The following is a 23095-nucleotide window of genomic DNA, read 5'->3' as shown; positions in this document are numbered from 1 at the left end:
GGCTTGTGACGTAGATGGGGAGTCTGGACAATTAAATGATCACTGCTATGTGATGTATGTAAGGACAGGAATTAGCAGGGTCTTTTAAAATGGTATAAAATTCAGCCCTAGACAGTCAAGCAAGGCTTCCTGGAAGCAGGGGTCAAGACCAACGTGGTCTTGATATCTCAGCAGAAGTCATTCTGTTTTTTGAGACGGAGTTTCGCTCTTGTTGCCCAAGCTGGAGTGCAATGGCTCCATCTTGGCTAATTGCAATCTCCGCCTCCCAGGTGTTCAAGTGATTCTCCTGCCTCAGCCTCCCAAGTAGCTGGAATTACAGGTGCCTGCCACCATGCCCAGATAATTTTTTGTATTTTTAGTAGAGATGGGGTTTCACTATGTTGGCCAGGCTGGTCTCCAACTCCTGACCTCAGGCGATCCACCTGCCTCAGCCTCCCAAAGTGTATACATCTTATTTCTACTGTCTTCATACCTAAATACATCCCAAGAAAAGCCAAGCACAAAAATAAAAGTTAAACAAATAAAAATTTTTAAAAACCTTCCATATTGATATATTGATCCTCAATTTTTGTGGCATATTTTAGTTGTCCTGTCTTCAGTGAATACTTGTTTCAACTCCTGAAATTTTATTTCCTGGGTTATCTTTATAAACTACTAAAGTGTCAAATGTTATGAGATAATTCCACCTCAAGAACAGGAGTTTAGCTTCATTCACTGTGTGGCTCTGGGGGATAACAAGCCAGGACCTCTGGAGAGGAAGTACTTCTTATTCTGACGGGTCACCTGAGACCATTTCTACCATCGCTGTGGAGTTTATATTCACATTGGGCTTAGAGGGCCTCATTCATTTCTGCAGCAAATCTTTTTGGGTGCAAACTGCATTGCTGATAAGGTTACCACACTGACAAAAACGAATCAAGTGAAGGGTAAATTGATTTGAATCTTAACCTAAGCCAAATGTGATAGAAAAAGTTACTTTTGAAAAGACGAAAGAATGTATTGCAAAAGCCAGTAGTGTTCTGATAATGCTTCTCCATGTGCTTAGTAAACATAAGCATGCCTCTCAATTTTAGACTCAATCTATGTTTCCCACACCATTCAGAAGCAAGTGTGGGTTGTGTGTTTTTCCTCCAGAAAATGCTTATTTACAACTTTTTCCCACTTCTGGCAGACAAGTGGGTCAGGGTGTGGTTATTCATTATTTATTTTTTCTTTCTCACTCAGCAAATGTTTACTATTTATTTTCTTTTTCATTCAACAAATATCCAACAGTATCTGCTACTATGAGCCAAAAGCTGAACTTTTCAGTGTATAAACAACATCTAAATCCTAAAAGATGGTGGGGGGTGGGAAAAGAATCTCCATAAGTACCCTCTATTCCTGGTGACCAACTGGGGTAGTGGCCGGTGCAAATGAGTCTGCTTAGCAAGCACAGCAAAAAGGGAAGTGAATATCCAGCTCTATTCTCACATGGAAATCCACATGAATTCAATAGCCCTTCATTGAACATCTGTCTACTGGATGTAATGTCCTGTGCAGGGAGCTGGAAGGCCATATAAAGGCTCTTCCCCAAGGAGTTTATAATCTAGGAAAAAAGATAACAACATGTACATAAATAAATAAAATACCAAATACAGAGATATGGGGCCAAAAAGAAACCTAAAATAAAGACCTTTACTTAATAGTTTCAGAGAGGACAGACTTATGCTTGATCATAGAGGATTACAAAAGGCATCAAGGGTCTGGTAGCATTTGTTCTGGGTCTTGTGAATGGCAGGTAGGATTTTAATGGAGGTGGAAGGAAAGCACAATTCTAGAAAGTAAGGAAAGCACGGTGGGGAAGGGAGACATCAGTACTGACTATTATACTGAGACTTGCAGACAAGCCAGGAAACACAAACCAGGACTATTGAGGGCCTGATTAAAATTGTTAGGCAATATAGAATGCAAATATGAATATGAAACAGCTTAGTAACATAAACTAAGCTTTGTTTTACAATAATTTGACTGCTGTGTACAGAATGTACTGGAAGCAAGTGATCCAACAGCAGGGAGACCACTTAAAATGATAATGATCATAACTAATATTAAAACAAAGACAGTAATGGCAGCACTTATGTTGCACTTACCAAGGGCCAGGAATTATTTTAAGCATTTTTGCACGTAGTAACATATTGACCCCTCCCATTCATCCAAAAAATAGATACTATTATTATCCCCACTTCACCAATAAGAAAGCTAAAACCAACTTTACATGCAGATGGTCACCCAGCATGGAAGGGCAGGGAGAGGTCATGGACCAGGAAGGCAGGCAGACACTTGCTTCACCTCTCCACTCTGCTCTCTCACGGAGGAGCCAGTTCAACATCTTGGTGAGAAATGATGACAGCCTAAAACTGAGGAGTCACAGTGGGAATGGAGAGGGCAGAATTTACACACAGGGACTGGGAACAGAGGGAGTAGACAGAGGAGACCAAGAAGCTCTCACAAAGGTATAAATTGACATGCCACAGTATAGAGGATTTCAAAAACAAAGAAATTATTCCAGAGAGTTAAATGGTACTGAAAAGTCAAAGCAGATTAGAATTTTGAAAGAGCTAGTGAACTGAATAAAAGGAATTCCCTGCTGCCTGTTAGGTCAGTAGTTTTAGAGCAGGGTTACGGTTATACATTGCAAGCAGTTAAGAGTGGATGAGTAATAAGAAAGATGGGCCATTGGACAGAGATGATTCTGTTCAAATTTGCATGGTAAAGAAATAATAAAATCAGAAATAAGAGTATGTAAAATTCTGATGGAGTTAAGTAAATGATACCTTTGCTATTACTACTATTACTATTATTATTATTGTTATTGCTAGTTACCAAGGTAAACCATCTTTGCAGAGAAGTTAGGTAGAATGAAAATCAGCAGTAAATAGAAGGGAAGAGAAAACACGTTTTGATTATTTAAAGAAGTATATGAATATATCTGAATGGGCAGTCTCAATGCTCATTATAAATTACTAGAAATATCCAAGTGGTAAGTACCCTAGAGGGGTACATTCAGACTCTGGTCTGAATTTTCAAGGATTCACTATAAGGTTTGGTTTAAGCATAATAAATTCCCATTTTAGAACAAGACAGATCCCTGTATTCTAATGTTTTTCTGGGTGAATTTGTATCAAGTATTAGATTTTGGTAGTTTGTGGATCATGAAGCAACTTGGACCCTGTAATGGACTGAAGGTTTGTGTCTCTCCAAACCCATATGTTGAAATTCCAACCCCCAAAAGGATGGCATAAGAAGGTGGGGCTTCTGGGAGGTAATTACGTCATCAGTAATAGTTCATATAAACAGAATTAGAGCCTTTATAAAAGGAACCCCCAAGAGCTCTCTTATTCTCTTTCTAAGAGGGGACATGCGAGAAGGTGGCCGTCTGCAGCCCAGAAGAGAGCCCACACAGGAACCTGAACATGCTGGGTCCTTGGTCTCAAATTTCCCAGCTTCCAGAACTGTGAAAAATAAATTTATTTGTTATGAGCTACCCACTCTATGGCACTTTGTTATAAGCCAAATTAACTAAGATATACCCTAACATCTGTATAGACAGCCCTTCATAAGGTGCATCCCACATGACACATGCTGAAATACGTTCACTGGATTGGCAGACATGTTAGACCAGGTTTGCTGAGGAGAACAATGTTTCCCCTCACTTCCAAGGGCAACATCAAATTTTCAGCCTCCTTTTAATTTCTGCAGCTGGCACTGCAGCTGAAGGGCCAACAGCATTACAATCATTTCTGACATTTCCTAGTCCTTTATAGCTTACGGCAGGTTTTCTCAGTTGCAACTTTAGCATACCTTATAACAGTTCTCTTATGTAGCCAAGGCAGAGGGTGTGATCCTATATTAGAGAAGTGGAAAACCAGGCTGAGAGATGTATTTCCTTGCTCAAGGCCATTCACATAGCAGGTGGGCCAGCATTCACACTCAGACCCAGTGACTCTGAACGCCTTACTCTCTGAAAAAAAAACTCCTTCTAAATACCAGTTCCTTCTCTTTTGAGTAAAAGCAAAACATGCAATCTTGCGATTCAGACTAAGATCATTTCCCATTCTTTTTTTTCTGCTCTGTGTTTGACCTCTTAGACATATTTAACCCCTCTTTTGGTCAAACTTCAATTATTGAGATTTATATTCAGTTGTTTATGCCAAAGCATTAGCATATCCCAGATTTCACTGGTAACCAGGAAAGCAGTAATTATACCGTTTGCCAAAAGAGTAGGTGCCCTCATTATTTATCTCAGTGAAAAAAGTTTGTTTAGATTTTTTCATCCTTCGTGTTTTCTCTAGTAAATAGTTATCCAGCTAAATTATTCATCACATCATCAGAGTGCTTCCTGGAGAAAATTCAAAAACATGTTATAACACCCTCAAGAAATGCATGTCAAAGTCTGAATGATTACTAAAGCACAAAAATGAGGCATATCAAGCATTTTGCAGTATGTGAAAGCAAAATAGGCCAGTCTGGGAATGATCTAATATCACTGTCTTCAGATAAGGGAGATGGTCACTGCCCCAAGTCTTTTCTTTTTAAAATAAACCAGCTAACACAGAAACTGCCTTTTACATATAAGTGTAGACTCCACAGAGTAAGTAGTTACATGCGAAAACTGCAAGGACACAGAGAGACTAACCTCAAAAATTTATTATCACAAGATCTTATCCTCTAGCTCTCATTCATATGTCATACTTTCCTGAGGAATAAATACCCGAGTGTTTCACAATATATGTTGAGTTAAAAAAAAAAAAAAAAAAAAAAACCAGAAGACTGGGAAAAAATCAGGCTAATGCTACAATCATGGCATTTGCACAAATTTTTCAAAGTGTAAAGTAGGATAAATGTATTCTAACGTACCCAAGAGCAGGGCAAATTAGGGAATGCCGAAATAAATCTTTGATCAAAGGAGAATTTTATTAATGATTTCCAATATTTTTCAGATTTTCCTCATTCTTTATCTTCTCAAAAATGAGAATTCCTGTGTGGTTAAATTCATGTCCTAGTTCTTAAGTTAGAAAACATCACACAAATAACAGTTGCTATTAATTGAATGTTTTTATTATGTCAGGTACTTATACTATTAGCAATTTTTGAAAAATATTGAAAACTAAGTGCCATGTTTCTCTTTTTATAGTTGTAGAAGGTGAATCTCAGAGAGGCAGAATAATCCATTCCAGATGATACTGCCCCTAAGAATAAATCCAAGATTTAAATCCATGTGTGTGTGGAATTTCCTCTGTGTCTGCTCTTTTCACCAACATATATAAGTCTTTTACATCAGGGGTCCCTAACCCTTGGGCCATGGACCTGTATTGGTCTTTGGCCTGTTAGGAATCAGGCTGCACAGCAGGAGGTGAGCTGCTGGTGAGTGAGCAAAGCTTCATCTGTATTTACAGCCACTGCCCATTGCTTGCATTACCACCTGAGCTCCGTCTCCTGTCAGATGAGCCACAGCATGAGATTCTCACAGGAGTGAGAACCCTATTGTGAACTACACATGCGAGGGATCTAGGTTATGCTCTCCCTATGGGAATCTAATGCCTCATAATCTGTCACTGCCTCCCATCCCCCACAGATGGAACCCTCTAGTTGCAGGAACACAAGCTCAGGGCTCCCACTGATTCTACATTATGTTGAGTTGTATAATTATTTCATTGTATGTTACAATGTAATGATAATATAAATAAAGTGCACAATAAATGTAATGCACTGGCTGGGTGCGGTGGCTCACACCTGTAATCCTGGCACTTTGGGAGGCTGAGGAGGGCAGATTGAGCTCAGGAGTTTGAGACCAGCCTGGGCAACAAGGTGAAACCCCGTCTCTACAAAAATACAAAAAATTAGCCGGGCATGGTGGTGGGCATCTGTAGTCCCAGCTACTCAGGTGGCTGAAGCAGGAGAATTGCTTGAACCCAGGAGGCGGCAGTTGCAGTGAGCCGAGATCAAGCCACTGCACACCAGCCTGGGTGACAGAGCAAGACTCTGTCTCCAATCAATCAGTCAATCAATAATTGTAATGCACTTGAGTTATCCCGAAACCATCCCCCGCTCTCAGTACCCCCTGGCCTGTGAAAAAATTGTTACCCACAAAAATGATCCCTGGTGCCAAAATGGTTGTGGACCGCTGCTTTACATCATTATACATACTAATAGAACGCTTCTAAAGCAAAATATTTTTGAGAATTCAAAGTAGAGAAAAAAATTCAACAAAATAATTTAGATTCAGAAGACCACCTATTCCATCGTCCTTATTTTTCTGATTAGGCAATGGCACTCCAAAAAGATGAGGTCAACTACCCAAAAATAGTTCCAGAACCTAGGTCTCCAGACATCTAATTCAATGCTCATTTTGCTCACTCCCTCATCTTTCTAAATTCTAGATTTCTCTTACAATCTACAGAGTTGATGCTATGGTTCTCATAAGTGCACTGAAGAATTTAACTGGTAGATTAAGGTAATAATCTTTTCAAAGAGCTCTGAAATTATCTGAGCTTCAGATAAAACAGCCATAATTAGGTTCCCTGCCAGTTGAACAGCACGAATGCTATTGTCACTGTCCAAGCCATAGGAAAGAGTTACAGGACAAAGGAAAAAAAATCACAATGGTGTCTTTCTAGACTTTTAGGTAAAATGCCTGTTGATGATGAAAAGAACATAGGATTCTAAATTTCCTTCTCAGATCTCATTAAGCAACTGTCTGCACACCTTCTTTTTTGACTATTAATCTCCTTGAACTGATTCAGAAAAAGTATAGCATCATAATTAACATTTAAAAAAATTAGTCTAACAAAAATTTCCAGACAGATCTTCACCTCAAGCAGAAATTTCTCCTATTAAATGCTATCCTTGAAAATATCACTAAATCCTGCGTAGCAATTTCTCTCCTTTGCTGTATAATGATATAGCTATTGTACCCAAAAGAAAAGAAATACACATTTTACTTACCATCACAGCTCAGTTAGCAGTTTCCTCCAGGTTAAAAACTTTGTGTATTAGCTGGAAGTCAAGATCTATGTTTCTTTAAAAAATTAACTTGGGAAAGTTGGAGTAACTTATTTACTTAACCTTTATATAATCATGACAATTCAGACCGAAAGATAGTTATTTTCCTTCAGAATATGAATACATTGCTGCAATTTCTTCTAATTTCTAGGATCACTGTTGGAAAGTGTAAAGTCATTTTGAGTACTAATCACCGGGATTTGACTTAATTTTTATTTCTAAAGACCTTAAATTTTTTTCTTTAACTCTAGTATTATGAATTTTCATAAATATGTGCCTTCAGCTTGTCTTTTTAAAATTTTAAATTGTGGTGGGGCACTTGTATTGTAAATTTAAGTCATATTTTCTTTTATTATTTCTTTGATTATGTCTTCTCCATTTTCTGTTTATTTTCTGCTATTAGAAATATTTCTAGTTATCAGTAATGATCATGTTTCCAATATGTTTGCATTTACTAGAAGACTGATTTTTTGCATATTTTGATTTTTGCATATTTACTAGAAGGCTGTTATATTTTTTACATATCCAGTATTTTTACTTCTGGTTTGATTTCATGTTCTGACAACATATCACTTTAACTTTGGAGTGGGTCTCTTTTACATGCAGTAAAAGTTGTATGAAGGAAATTTGTGAAGCTCAGCAAAGTCCCTGCAACACAGTGCACAATAAAATTTTATGGAAGGAAATAAGTACACAGTGCTTTCTGTTTGAGAGTTTTGCTTTGTTTGCTTTTCTTAAGGATCAAGTAGGTTCAACCTGAGGCTTAAGCACGAGCCCTAACGGGAAGTCCTTAACACTTTCTGTTCAAAAGGGTCAGACTGTAGGTAGAAACTCAGCCAAGGTGTATCAGTGAGAAACAGACTGTGCATTTGCCAGTAGAATTCCCTTTCCAGCAAATCAAAATTTGTAAATAAGGCAGAAGTGGTCAGATGGGTGGAGAATGGGTTCCCTGCCTGAGATGTACAGAAACACAACATTTGGGAAACACATGTACTTCACTTTTTCTTTCTTACTCTCTCTCACACCCCCACCCTCTCTCTCCACCTAATCTCCTCCACAAGAATTCCAAAGTCTTCTTCTACAATACAAGTAATTAGCTCTTCCCCCAATTTTGAATATGCAAACCTCTCCAGGTCTCAGCAAAACAATAACTTCAGCTTCTGCACTCCTTAGAAAGAATGTTGTACCTATAAATGACTTTTTTCTTATTATTTTATAAACCATTTTAAATTGACTACATTTCACTTAGCACATAGTGGTTACTCAAAGAGAAAATACAAGCCCAACAGATGGGCAAATATCATTGCCTGTTCTATTTACAGAAATGTTCTTTGTCCCTAATATATTTTCTGGCACTTGATGGGTACTCAATGAAAATATTCCTGAAACTGCAGGTTTCTAACTTTTCTGGAGACATAATTTAGACACCATCTTTTGCAAAGGATATTCACCTTAAATAATTTAGAATTTTATGACAAGAAAATTCCAGACATAGAAAACAAACAAAACTGGGGGGCATCCACGATTGAAGTTGGATTACATTTCTGAGTGTCTTCTTAAAATATCACTTGTATTGCACATGTTCTAGTTTGTCATATCCCACTGTTAGGAAAGGCTTATAACAAATTATTTTAAAAGAATATCATTCACTATATAAATGTTGTACAGTTTTTCCCAGATAAAAATATTTTCCTTATTGAAAAAAAAGAGCTTATTGTTTCTTAGAAGAAACATGTTAATATAAACTGTATCAACCAGGTATGTGCTGTGAATTTACATCAAGTAATCTTCAATTTGGTGGGTCTCTAACTGTCTCAGAGTCATATGGTGAGAAAGATCCTTCCAGTCCACTCCAGGAAATGCTACTGAGCAGCTGTCTGTTGCTTTACACAGATGGTAATTGACAAATATGTATATTGCAAAGACTTCGCGATGTACTTCCAAAAGAAAAGTCATTCTTTAATGCCAAAATATTCCATTCTTGTATTCTAAATCACTGGGGGAATTTAACCTCCATTACTTAATATGATTAGTTTGACACTGACATAATTAGTAACCACCACAAAAGAACAAAGATTACAAGATCACTGTAAATAAAGGCCAATTATTTTACTTCTCTAAAGAAATACGGACTTACACCTTTTGCCATTAGTCATAGGCAGACAATTTAAAATGTATTATGTGCTAAACTAGCTATTAATAAAACAAACAAGGTGTCTTCCTTATGAGTAATGTTTAGCTTAGTTGTCCTTAATGTAAGAATCTGGGAATGGTGATGGAGGACAGAAGGAAAAATTAAAAAAATAAACAGCTGAGGGCCCAGTTAAGCTAGGCACAAAAGATACCCCTTGTATACTGTCAGATATAGACATTTTACTGATAAGGACAAAAGTTTAGAATTGTAATTCAGCTAGATTCTCAAAGTAGGAAATGTCAGAGCTGAAATTTGATCTTCTGTGTGGCAAACTCTCCTATACGCTACTGCTCCCCTCTCAATTATGACAAAGAAATTATCTTTTAGGGATATTTTTATACATTTTATCATTTAGATGCCATCTATAATTCAAATGCAATGTTGTTTTTTTGCAAGTTTTTGTCCTCACACCTTAAAGTATATCACTTCTCTAATGTTCATAGAAAAGTATAAATTATTCTAGCTCAGAGAATCAGCAGGTTTCTTATTTTCTCCCAAAAACTCAAGGAATTTCATCTCCAACATGTGTGTACCCTTAAAAAGAACCTTTCCTCTTGCAGTTTGTCTCCACAGCATTTGATTAAGAAAGTTACAAAATTATAAGAATAAAACATTGTAACAGGGTTTTTTAAAAAAAATCTTAGAGGCTTCTACTTGCCTATGTCATAACGTCAAAAATAAAATGACCTCCACAAAATTGGAGCACTGAGCAAATGAGGGAGAAGAAAACTCAACCAATAAGAATATTACTAATAAAAACTGACAGAAGTCCTCTCTAAACACACTTGTATCAACATTCATAAAGAAAGATCTAATGCCATTCCATTTGACTGAAATCCAAATCTATTGAACTTTCAGACAAAGTAAATAGCCTATTTATTCTGGAATGAACTACATAATCAACTAAGCATTTCAATTGAGGCCATCTTCCTCCACTAGATTATCCCCTGAAATAGCATCAGACGTTTCTCTGTGGACACTCGAGTGACTGATTGAAAAGTCTTTTTCCCCTAATGGAATTAGGAACCATTTCGGACTCTTCATCTTCCCTTCAGTTCTAGCTCATACTTCAAAAATTCCATTCTTCCAAAATTCTTAAGCAACCATCATTTAGTGGAAAATAATTCTATTAAAATCATATAATGCTATAATAAAACATGCATTTTATATGTATCTGAAATCTACACTTTCATCTTCATATTTGGAAAAGAAATAAAAGTCTGTTAATGATTTTTTTTATTCAAATGCATATAATTTACCAATTTTAATAAATTATCTTTAATAGAGAATTTCTCTTTAATTTCAGTTTTCCATTTAAACTGATAAAATCACATTATATCGATAGTGGTATATTAATTGCTGGGGGGAAAAAGAGTTATTTTTTCTTTAACTATTCAATGTAAAATCCTATGTCATGTCAGTTCCAACGAGAACTCTAGGCTAAAGCAGAAAAAACAAAAGGAAATGTGCCTTTACAGACTCACACAAATAGGAAAAACTTTTTTTGATCAGATTCAAAACAGGCATAAAATATGACTTGCACTTATTTTAAAAAAAATACCAGTACACTCTATTATGGGAAAGGCGTTATAATATTAAGAGTCACTTTTCTTTCTCTAGAAGTTAAAAATAAGTTTCTTTTTGTGAATACAATACAAAAATATTTAAACTATTTCATTGTTTAATAGATCATATTATAAATACTGGCTCACACTATATTATCAAAATAAAACTGGAACTAAGCTAACAGCAGATACAAAGGTGGAATAAAAATCTAAATCTTAAGATGTAAACCTATAGATATAAGAAAAAACCATGAGAAAATATCTTTATGACTTGGAGGAAGTGAAGAACTTTTAAAGCAAAGGCAGCAAAAAATAAGCAAAAAAAGTCATAGATTACAGAATGAAGAAGGATATTTGTGATATTTAAGACTGCCAAACTAATAATGCTAATAGGTAAACAAAGAGATGCTTAATTAGTAATCAGATAAATTAAAACAACAATAAATATCATTTACACCAATTAAATTGGCAAAAAAAATGGTTGTAAAGACACAGAAAAATCTTTAGATACTATGGTGCAACCTGGCCAGGTGCGGTGGCTCATGCCTGTAATCCCAGCACTTTGGGAGACCAAGGCGGCCGGATCATCTGAGGTCAGGAATTCGAGACCAGCCTGGCCAACATGGCGGAACCCCATCTCTACTAAAAATACAAAAATTTTCCAGGCATGGTGACACATGCCTATGGTCCCGCCTGGGTAACAGGGCAAGACTCCCATCTCAAAAAATATATATGTATGTGTATATATGTGTATACATGTATATATGCATATATATACACACATAGAAGTTAAAAATAAGTTCCTTTTTGTGAATACAATACAAAAATATTTAAACTATTTAATTGTTTAATAGATCGTATTATAAATACTGGCTCATACTATATATCAAAATAAAACTGGAACTAAGCTAACAGCAGATACAAAGGTGGAATAAAAATCTAAATCTAAGATGTAAACCTATAGATATAAGAAAAAACCATGAGAAAATATCTTTATGACTTGGAGGAAGTAAAGAACTTTAGGCACAAGAAGTATATATTATATAAATATTATATATATATATATACGGTATAACCTAAAAATAATGCACTAAAAATAAGTGACATAGGCCTTTTAGCTGCAGAGTAATTTATGATGGTAGAAGGTTAGAAGAAAACAGGTTTTCCATTAATGGACAGAATCATGCAGCAATGAGAAGTGATAGATTATATGCTCACACAACAACGTGAGCTGAAAAATAGAATGTTTAATCAAAAAAGTGGAAACTAGCATCAAGTAAATAAAAAATGCATGTAAGAACACACACAAATCCAGATGTACACATTATGTAAATTAGAATGGTTGTCTCAAGGTGGTAGGGGAAAGGGAATGGAGAATGGGGAAAAGGGTAGGGGGAGAGAAAGAAAAAGAACTGGATGATGCAAAAAGTCAGAAGGCAATCAGCAATGAAAAGAACCTGAACTTTGATGTTTAAGAAACTTGCAATCAAATCCTTACAGTCACTTACTACCAATGTGACTTTGAACAAGGGACTTTTCTGTATGACTCTTTCCCCACTGGCAAAATTGAGATAATAGTTGTCACCTCATGGATGATGATTAAATGAGTAAAAACGTAATATTTTATATACTCAGTAAGGACTTTTTTTTTTCTTTTTAAGCTTTTTTAGAACAGGCATTTATATTTGCCTGTGTTATAGGATTGCTATACTTATTGATGCTTAGAATGTAGTCTGAATTCAAGTTTCTTTTGCTGAATTCTAAAATAGCAAAACAACACTACAAAAGGAATATTCATGAGCTATGGACAAATTCAGGCTTTGTAAAAGCATTTTATAATTCCAAATAAAATGGAAATCCTTGTTTTGTATATCATTCTGAGATATGCAGCTAGAGTATTAACTTTAAGATTACTACCAATATAGTAAAATCAGTACCTTCAAATTTATGATTACAGAGAAACACTAAGATTGCTGAAAGACATCTTAAAATATTTCTTTTACCAATTGTAACCTGAAACCAATACTTTTTCTTATTACACTTTGCTGTGCACTAAACCTCAAAGAGAATTCTCCAAGCTCTTTGACAATTAAAATGTTAAAGAGTGAAGCAACAAAATGATCTTACTTTGTCCTGTTACTAGATTTGGAAAAAGCATCATTTTGAAAGGGAATTATCTTCTTAAAGTCATGTAAGAACCTCTGTTCATTTTTCAAATCATTGGTATACTCGCAGTCTTCTTAGGAAATATACATTTCTATTTACAGGCCAGAATTTCAGTGAGCCATTTATGCTCAGAGGAAAATATGCTGGGGAGAGGTAAATTTGCCTAAAATCATTGTTGATTGATCAAATGATTGATTCATTCAAGAATAATATATTAAGCACTACTATATAGCAAAAAAAAAATGCACTGGGTCTGAGCATATATGAATGAATGAATGAATGAATGAAGTAGACATAGTTCAGCCTTCACAGAGTACACAAAGTAATAGGAATGTCAAACAAAAATAAGTAAATGATTGCTAGCTATCTACCTATAAAATTACAAATTGTTGTAAGAATAAGCAGGAAAAACAGGATTCTAAGAAAAGGAATGACAAAAAGAATGGAGTATTCATAGAGATCTCCAACAGTATAATTTTAACTGACACCTGATGGATATAAAGAATGACCTTTGCAAACAGAGGCAGAAAGATTTACAAGGAGGAGGCATAAAATGTTCAAAAGTGCTGAGGCAGAAAATAATTTGGTCTTAAAAGCTACTGACATCAGTTCATGGGACCTGGAGCCTGGTATACTGTGAACAAACTCCAAGATATGCAATTAATTTAGAGGCATCTCCATGACAGCCTGTAGACCACTGCATAGGGATCTGATATTATGTTAATCTTCATTAGAAATCATTAGGAGTTTTTGAAAAGACATTGTCTGATATATGTGTTTAAGAGTTCTAGTTTTTTTAGGCCGGGTGCGCTGGCTCACACCTGTAATCCCAGTACTTTGGGAGGCCAAGGTGGGCGGACCACAAGGTCAGGAGATCGAGACCATCCTGGCTAACACGGTGAAACCCCGTCTCTACTAAAAATACAAAAAGCTAGCTGGGCGTTGTGGTGGGCGTCTGTAGTCCCAGCTACTCAGGAGGCTGAGGCAAGAGAATGGCATGAACCCGGGAGGCGGAGCTTGCAGTAGGCGGAGATCGCACCACTGCACTCCAGCCTGGGCAACAGAGCGAGACTCTGTCTCAAAAAAAAAAAAAAAAAAAAAAAGTTCTAGTTTTCATATGGAGAAGGAGATAGAGGGAGGCCAGGATGAAGATTTTTCAATCAGACCAGGGAAAATAAAATCATAGTTTGGGTTAAACAGATGACTGAGAAACTAAGTGAGAAGTGGACTGAGTAAAGATATATTTCCGAGGCCTTAAGGATGCAGGGAACAGCAGTAATGACTCAGAGTTCTGGCTTCCACACTGTGGCAGATTGTAGTGCAATGTACAAGGATGGCAAAGACTGAATGAGGGGATCTGAAATCACGGGGAGCAGGAAATTAAAAGAAGCACCCTGGCTTTCACACCCCTGGAGACTACAATTCAGGTAACTGAGAAGCAGGGTTTCCCTCAGCATTTTGGAGTGGAAGTCGCAGGCCTTGGTTGTGAACAAAACTGACCTCTACTGACCACTTACAGTGAGTTATGAGCTATGCCAGCTCCTTCCAGTTGTGCTTGCTATCTCATTTACTTCCTACTACAGTACTGGAAGGTGGCTGTGATTAGCTACATTTAAAAGATGAGGAAATTAAAGGTCATCTTTTGTATCTTGTTCAAAGTCCCTCAATAAATGACAGAGTTAGGATTCTAACGACTGACTGTAAAAGTACAGTGTCCAAACCTATCCTCTATTTAATGATTAGAAACAGTGGACACAAGACACCAGTGAGAGTGAGGGGTGTGTGTGTGTATGTATGTGTGTGTGTGTCTGTGTCTGTGTGTGTGTGCGTGTCTATGTGTGTGTGTGGCAGGGATGGGCCATGCTAAATAATGTTCATTGTAGATCCAGTTCTACTGTGATCTACAAAAATCAAGGAGGCAAGTCTCTATTAATATAGAGGCATAATGCGGACTCATTCATGCATGATAAAACGTCTACCAAGTGACACACGCTGGACAACTTTCCAGGTCAGCAAAAGAGGCAGAATCCCAACTAGTATGCAGCTCAGAGCCTAGCAATCTGTCATTCTCAAAATACAATTTTCTTTACACAATGCCACACTAGTAGGCTAGATTAGCCATGCACACGTATGATTCACATACAAGGTCAAAATGCTGTGTGCTACGGGAGATAAAGCACCAGGTGAGATAGAGCTCTATGAGAGATAAAGTGCTAGGGTGGCAAAACAATATAGGCCTTAAGAGCAGTGGGAGATTACTTGAGATGGAAAGGTCACAAAAAGCTTTCTTTATCGATTAAGTAAATGCCTGGAACATAATAGAGTCTGAACTAAATGATATTGGAAGATGTAAACAAAATCCAATTTTCCCTGAAATTAATTAATAATGTATAAATAGAGATGTTAGAAAAATAGTTAAACTATTCTAATACTGTATCTAAGGCTCAGAATAAAGAAGTTCATACTCTAGTCCAGACATTGGCAAACTTTTCCTGTAAAGGGGCAGATAGTAAGTTATTTTTCAGCTTTGTGAACTCCACCATCAATATCCATCAACTCAGTACTAATATTTTTGCAGGAAGGCAGTCATGAATGATACGTACATGAAAGGGTGCAGCTGTGTTCCAAAAAATTTGTTGCTTACAAAAACAACTGGCAGGCTGGATCTGGACTTCAGGCCATTGCTGGCCAACCCCTGCCCTAGTCTCATTGCTCCCCAAATTTAATAGAATGATCTGTCACTCAAGTTGCTGGGAATGCAGGAAGACACTGAGCCTAATTAGGATATGTCACACACAAAAATTATTGGAGAGAGCAGTTGTAAGTTGAGACTAAAATGAAGCCCCTTCTCTTGAGTGTTTCTGCCAAAATAAGAAATACAAACACATCCCGATTACACAGTAACAAGGCAAGCACGGCTGAAGGAAGAAAGTTATCAGTGGAGACCCGCTGCATAGCATGGTCACAACCATGGCAGGTAAGGTGGAGTGTAGACAGCCTTGTCAGCCAGCCTTCTCAGCTCTCTCTCCAGCCTCTCCTGACTTGACTTGGTATAAAGATCTTAGTGAGCTGAAGCCACTAATAGAAGCCCAAATCCCAGTTAACTTTTACGATGCTGTCCCTGCTGTAGCTCTCTCTCATTTTTCTCTTTCATGTTTTGTTAATAATGATTGCTCTATTTTGAATAAAATATTGTAACAAATTGAACTTAAATCATTCATTCAACAATTATTTATTGGGTATGTCCTGCATGTGTCTACCCTTGATTGCCTATAATGTTATTACTCTGTGATTGAACTGGAGATCTGATGGTGAGAAAACCATTCATATTATCCCTACTCTCCTGGAACATAACGTCCAGATGACAAAACACAAAATAAGGTCACAAGTAAATGTAATCGCAACTGTGATCAGCTGCTTTGAAGGAAACAGACAAACTGCTGAAATGGAAAATACCATAGGAAGGGAATAATTTAGACAGAGTAGACAGAGACAGTGTTTCTATGGAGATCTTTATTTAATTACATTTCCTTTAAATCAAGACCAGGAACACGTTCCAGAAACTGATAAAAGACCATTGGTATTGGAGCGTAGTGAGTTGGGGGAGAAAGAAGAGTGAAAAAAATTATGTTGGAAAAACCAGAGAAGTGAACAGGTTATGCTAGGAAGGCATTTGGACCCTGGTAAGGTTTGCATGTTTCATCCTGAATACAGCTAGAAATCAATGAGAATGGTTTTGAGCCGGGGAGTGATTGTCGTTTGTTTTACCAATATTAATCAAAAATGGTTTGTAGAGCAGCTAGGAGTATAAATGTGGAGAATATGATGGGGGGATACTGTGACAGAAAAGGGGTAAGATGAAAGCGGCTTGCTTGGTGCAGGGTGATAGTGGCAGTGGCAGCAGAAGTGTAGGGAAGTTGCTGAATTTGAGATTTCTGTTGAAGGAAGAACTAAGTTTTGTGGATGAGTAGATGGTTAAAAGGTTCTTAAATGTGGGTGTAAGTAGGTGCTTGTGGGATAGGAAGGGAAGAGTAATGGAATTAAAGAAGCCAATGGTTTCTGGTTTGACCTCCTGGTTGGCTGATGGTGCCATTTATCTTGAAAGGGAAGACTGAGGGAGAAGCAAGAGTGGGGAGGAGAACCAAGAGGTATGTTTTGGACATATCTGAAAATTCATGGGGCAAAGAGGCAGTTAGATACACAAGAGTGAATCTCAGGCAAGTCATTAGAAGATAGATGGCATTTTAGGCTACTGGATTGAAAGTCATGATAGAAAGAAAGTGAGGGAAAAGAAGGCCCAGAACAAGGCTGTATTGTAGATAAATGTATATTTAAATTTTCTGTACCTTGTGATGTTTTGATATCTTAGAAAATCTTTCTAACTGGGGAAGAGATCACCTTTGCTTGAGGCTAGCCAATTCTTTTTTTGTTTTGTTTTGTTTTGTTTTTGAGATGGAGTCTCGCTCTGTCGCCCAGGCTGGAGTGCAGTGGCGCCATCTTGGGTCACTGCAAGCTCCGCCTCCCGGGTACACACCATTCTCCTGCTTCAGCCTCCCCATTAGCTGGGACTACAGGTGCCTACCACCATGCCCGGCTAATTTTTTTGTATTTTTAGTAGAGACGGAGTTTCACCGTGTTAGCCAGGATGGTCTTGATCTCCTGACCTCGTGATCCGCCTGCCTCGGCCTCCCGAAGTGCTGGGATTACAGGCGTGAGCCACTGCGAACAGCCGCCAATACTTAAGATAGGAAAGGGACCAGCCTGAAGCACGCAAACTAACCAACCCAGAGCCACATTTCCTCTACCTTGCCCACATACCCTGGAAACAATATTCTTCTGTCTTAAGCAACCCAGGGCCAGGTACCAGGCAACTAGAGAACACTCCTGTTTCCCAAATTCTGGAGAAATTATTCAAAGTAGTCCTAAACTGTTCATCCTATCCTGCCTTACCCTTCTCTCAGAAACCCCAACAAAGGCCATGCCTTACAACTTACCTTGCTCCTGTTTCTGCCTCCTGACCACTCTGGTCTTCCCCATGTTGCCATGTATGGCATGCCTCCTGTCTCTAGGACCTGTGAGTAGAAAATACTTTATTTTCTCGAGTCTCTCCTGTGTCTCCTCTTGTAGCCCCATCTGGCCGATTGTCTCATAAATGTATACAAAACAAAATTTCTGACAAATCATAATATTTATAGATGCAGCAAAAGAGAAAAACAATGAAAGTCTGTATTAGTAACCAGAAAAACGGTCAGAAGTCTGAGGTACCTGAGAGAAGACAGCAAAATGAGATCTGGAATTTGAGGAGCACCTGTTAGGAGAAGAGCCATCTCTACTGTAAGCACAAGCAACACAGAGGGAGTGGGGATGTCAGGAGGGTATCCCAAGGACAACATACAGGATTTTGTCATATTCTTCCTCCAAAGATCACAGAAAACTTGTGATCCATATCCACTATTTTTTGTTCCAAGTCTCTGATAAGCAAGTCATCCAATCCATGTTAAAACAGGCTGGATTCTTGCATCATAAGACGTTAATTTATATTTTTACAAGATCCTTTTAGCTGCTTCCACCAAAGTCCCTTTCCCCCTGCATACACTGGAGCTTATCTTGCATATTCTATTTATTATGATATATAAGGTGTGTTTTCCCTGCTGGACTTGGGGGTTTTGAGAGAAGGGACTCTATTTTTCCTTTCTATATCCTCCCAGCCAACTGAACATCTGATTCTTTGCAAAACTGAGAGACCTACCATAGTAATTTGCAAATGGGCCTTCAAATTTATAATACTTGCTCTTAGTCCTATGCTTAGAGTTTCAGTTCATGTAGGAGTCAGTGAAGACTAAGTGTGAGTAGCCAAAAACTTGAAAGATAAAGTTGAAAGCAGTTTCTTAAAGATATTTTTTAAATGTTCTTAATTCAGAAACTATTAATCCAATTTAAGAGAAAACTGTTTAACTAAAAATTTTAGAGAATTTATGAAGACATATCTTTAATGGAGAAAAACACAATGATATGTAACATTTTGAAATCAATCATGTTTTAGTGGTCTTCTATTTGCTTACTAATTTTTACTGACAGTTTTCACACACTGAATTATGTCTCCTGCAACTAATATGTTTTCTTCTCTTTTGCCCTGAAATTTCTGTAGATTTTCCATTATGGAATGTGAGTCTATGTTATGTGATGCACAGATATCCATTCCTATTGATTTCTTGTGGAAATAACTTTCTTATTAAAATTTGATAAATAATGCGTTTATTAATATGGTAGATATTTTCAGAATTAGTTATATTGTGTTTCAGTATGCCTCATGATAATACTAGGTTTTTTTTTTCAATATTTCACTTTGTTCTTTTTGTGCCTGTTTGTGTTACTATTAATAATCTGAAGGTCTCATGTTTTTCTATTACCTTTTTTGTTACCTTTTAAATACAATGTGATATTTTTTTATTTCTTATTTTTTTGAGACGGAGTCTCGCTCTTGTCACCCAGCCTGGAGTGCAATGGCACAATCATGGCTCACTGCAACCTCACTTGAACCTTCCTAGGTTCAAGTGATTCTCCTGCCTCAGCCTCCCGAACAGATGGGATTACGGGCACCTGCCACCATGCCTGGCTAATTTTTGTATTTTTAGTAGAGACGGGGTTTCACCATATTGGCCAGGCTGGTCTCGAACTCCTGACCTTAGGTGATCCACCCTCCTCGGCCTCCCAAAGTCCTGGGATTACAGGCATGAGCCACTGTGCCTGGCCAATATAATATTTATAATCCTACATTTCTTTATTATCTACTGACCATTCACTGTAATACTGACAAAATTTATACCTCCACTTAGTCTCCAATCACTTCTCTTACTGCATTATCTAATTTTAATTGTTTACACACTTTTACTACATTTTTATGCCTTTGCATGTTTATGCTATGTTATTTAATAAATCACCATTGAGTGGCATTTTTTTGCCTTCAGCTATAAAAGATGAAGAATTCACCATATGCATACCACCTCTCACCTTCTCTTCCACTTTTCATCCTAAATTGTATCAGATAAATTATTTCAATGTTATTATTCTTTGTAACATTTTCATTCTGTTCTGTAAACATAATTCTCAGAAATATTTTTACTTATCAATGCAGATAGAAATATTTAATATTTTCAACATATTTAATGTTTATCAACAGTTCTTTTGCTGTAATTCCTCTATTCATTTTCATTGTCAGAATATTTTTAAAGGAATCTGGCAACTAGATTCTGAGCAGTATTTCATGTTGAAAACTGTTTGTCAGTTGCCTTACTTTAAAAGATACATTCACTGAGTCTAGGAACATGGGTTACACTGCCTTTTCCTGAAAACACTGGAAAGGCATTGACCTGTTCTTTTCCTAATGTGGAATGTTACTGAGAGGAATTCTGAAGTCACCCTTTGTTTAGGATTTGATCTCCTTTCAGACTCCCCAAAAGATTCCCTGTTCTAGTTGGCCTTCTATATTGGTGGTTTCTGAATACATACCCCAAAGAACCTGAGCATCAGTGAATTCTGGTATCTTCTGGGAGCCCTGGAACTAATCTCTTGAAGATACCAACGGATGACTGTGTTTTAAAAGGTAAGTGGATTAGGATATTGACGGTGATCATTTTGCATAATTTTTTTCATAATGTTGGGCTTCCAAACAAAAGATTAAAAGTCAAAAATGTTTATTCTCAAAACTTCTTCACATCTGGAAAAAGTAACTTTAAACATTTTTTTTCTCCATATATTCGTTTCTCCTTTTCAGGCACACCACTTATGCATATGCTGAACTTTTCTTTTTTCTGTTTGGATTTTCTAACAGATTATTTTCATCTATCCTGACAATTGTTTTAACTCACTGTTAATTTATTTTGTTTCATTTTTTCACTGTTCACATGCTTTTTGATATTTTCCGTTTCTATTCTCCTTTAGGTTATTTCCAATGTAACTTTGGATGTAACATTCTTTTCTACTATTCTTTCCTATACTTAATATGGTTTGCCTGTGTCCTCAACTAAAATCTCAACTTGAATTGTAATCCTCATGGGAGGTGGTTAGATCATGGGGGCAGTTTCCCCCATGTTGTGCTTGTGCTACTGAGTGAGTTCTCACAAGATCTGATGGTTTTATAAGGGGCTTTTCCCTGCTTCGCTCTGCACTTCTCTCTCCTGCTGCCATGTGAAGAAGGACATGGTTGTTTCCTCTTCTGCCATGATTGTAAGTTTCCTGAGGCCTCCCAAGCAATGCAGAACTGTGAGTCAATTAAACCTCTTTCCTTTATAAATTACCCAGTCTTGGGTAGTTCTTTATAGCAGCATGAGAACAAACTAATATACTAATTTTCTTGTTTTATCTGCTTAACAGTCATTTCCTTCTATTTCCTTGCTATATTTCTTCCTGAATTTCTGTTTCCCAAATGTCTGCTTTGAGACATTATTTCAAAGAAGTTATTGTTTTGTTAATGTCTATTGCTTAATTTAGTAATACATTTGGGAATTAATTTCATTTTCTCCATGACAAAATTTTTCTGGTGAATATTTTTCAACTGCTTTCTATTCTGCTTTCTATTCTAATTATTTTAATACCTTGGTATTTATGCTGCAATGGTCCCTTTTACACATGGTGAGTCTTCATAGACTATATGCTGGTAATTTACCTTTGAATATAGTGAGTACTTGGAACTATGGGAGGAGGGTCAGAGTGGGATATAGCACAACAGTAATTGTCAGAGGCTGACCATGAAATGCATTAAAGTGTATTCCTATATCTAGTTTAGCCTTTAATTCTCCCCAGGCGAGAGAGAGATGTCACTCAGGACTGCTTCCGAAGGAGTTTCCCTTGAAGCTTGCTTCACTGTCTGACTCCTTTCATACAAGTGGTAAGTCTCAATGTCTCCTGACTCAGCCTCCGACCCTCCAGTTGCTTCATCACGTTCAGTGGCTTCCAGGCATGCACTTGCCACAGAGTGCATTGTTGCAAATAAGAGATTGTTTTCTCAGAAGGGCATACCATCTACTTCTGAAATGGCATACTGGGCTCTGGAGCCTTTCTTCCAGTATTTGGCCAAAGATTCTTTTCAATAAAGGTTGAATTTCCTTCTAGTTATTTTAAATTAATTTTCATGAGGAAAGGGGGCTGTATCATCATTACCATTTTAAGTCCAAAAGTCTTTTATAGTTCAAATATATTTCATATCTACAAATTAATTTGTCCTTACACCATATCCAGTTACATTCAATGTGGTAACTAATACTATCCCCAATAAAAAAAAAATGAAAAAAGTCCTGGGAAGTTATGTTGTTTATCCATGGCCACACAGCAAATCAATATCATATTTGAATGAAGCATTACATGCTTTCTCTTCTAGGTTAAGTTTTATTCCCACTAAAAACATGACCACAATGTGATTTAGTTATTTTTCTCTTAGAAATTTATCATAATGCTGTATCCCTAATGAGGGGTACAATATGTCAGAAATTAATCTGTGACTCACATTTACAAAAAGCCCCAAATTTGAACTTGAATTCAACTCTACAACACCCACATAAATTTATGTTTATATATACTCATACTATCTTGTGAATCACTCACTCCTATTGTATTGTATTTTGTGTCATAGCATTTAATTTTTAAATCTTTTTAAAAATTGCATTCATAAATTAGAAGTGTCCCAGGTCTCTCTATGGGGTCTGGGTTTTGACCTTTTCCTACAGTTATGTGAGGAAGGCCCTGTTGATATTCTCATCTGAATATACAAGTAGGGGCCTCTGAAACATCAGGGACCATCAATAGGTACACTATCATGCAGGTGATCTCTGCTCTAAAAAGTGAAATGATGAGTGGAACTTTGGAGTTGAGGGTCAGACTTGAGGAAACTTAAATTAAGTGGTAAGTCCCTTGAACTGAAATGGAAAATGAAGGCTGCCCCTAACACCAGAGCCTTGGGGGAAGAATTCATAAAGGAAAGTAATGAGATGTTCTAGAAAGACAAGAAGTGACAGAGAAGTGGAAAGGGTAAAAGGCTTACCAGTCTATCTTGGAGTAATATTTCCTACAATGTCATCTGCCAACACCATGTTTTTTATATTCAAGAAAAGCATTTTATTTAAAAATCATTTAT

General features: G+C 37.0%; 1 protein-coding gene and 1 long non-coding RNA gene across 26 annotated transcripts in view; one reads left to right on the top strand and one right to left on the bottom strand.

Annotated features, from left to right (window-relative positions):
* Nucleotides 1-23095, bottom strand: part of NRG3 (neuregulin 3) — a 1111986-nt gene that overhangs the window by 736400 nt on the left and 352491 nt on the right. For 12 of the 25 annotated variants that reach the window (XR_001747009.3, XM_017015573.3, XM_017015577.3 and 9 more), the window contains one exon: nt 17961-18038. The exons of the other annotated variants lie outside the window; for them this stretch is intronic. Coding sequence is in view for 11 of the 12 variants with exons in the window: in XM_017015573.3 (XP_016871062.1) it covers nt 17961-18038 (78 nt within the window). In the remaining variant the exon portion in view is untranslated. The remainder of the gene's footprint in view (nt 1-17960; nt 18039-23095) is intronic. 25 annotated transcript variants of the gene reach the window in all.
* Nucleotides 17860-21766, top strand: NRG3-AS1 (NRG3 antisense RNA 1). The gene is made up of 4 exons (NR_120666.1): nt 17860-18040; nt 18162-18300; nt 20415-20569; nt 21752-21766. It is a non-coding gene; the product is annotated as an NRG3 antisense RNA 1 (long non-coding RNA).

The sequence above is a fragment of the Homo sapiens genome, chromosome 10, assembly GCF_000001405.40.
Source record: "Homo sapiens chromosome 10, GRCh38.p14 Primary Assembly".
In the NCBI taxonomy this organism is placed as follows: domain Eukaryota; kingdom Metazoa; phylum Chordata; class Mammalia; order Primates; family Hominidae; genus Homo; species Homo sapiens.
This window is presented reverse-complemented; position numbering and strand designations above follow the sequence as displayed.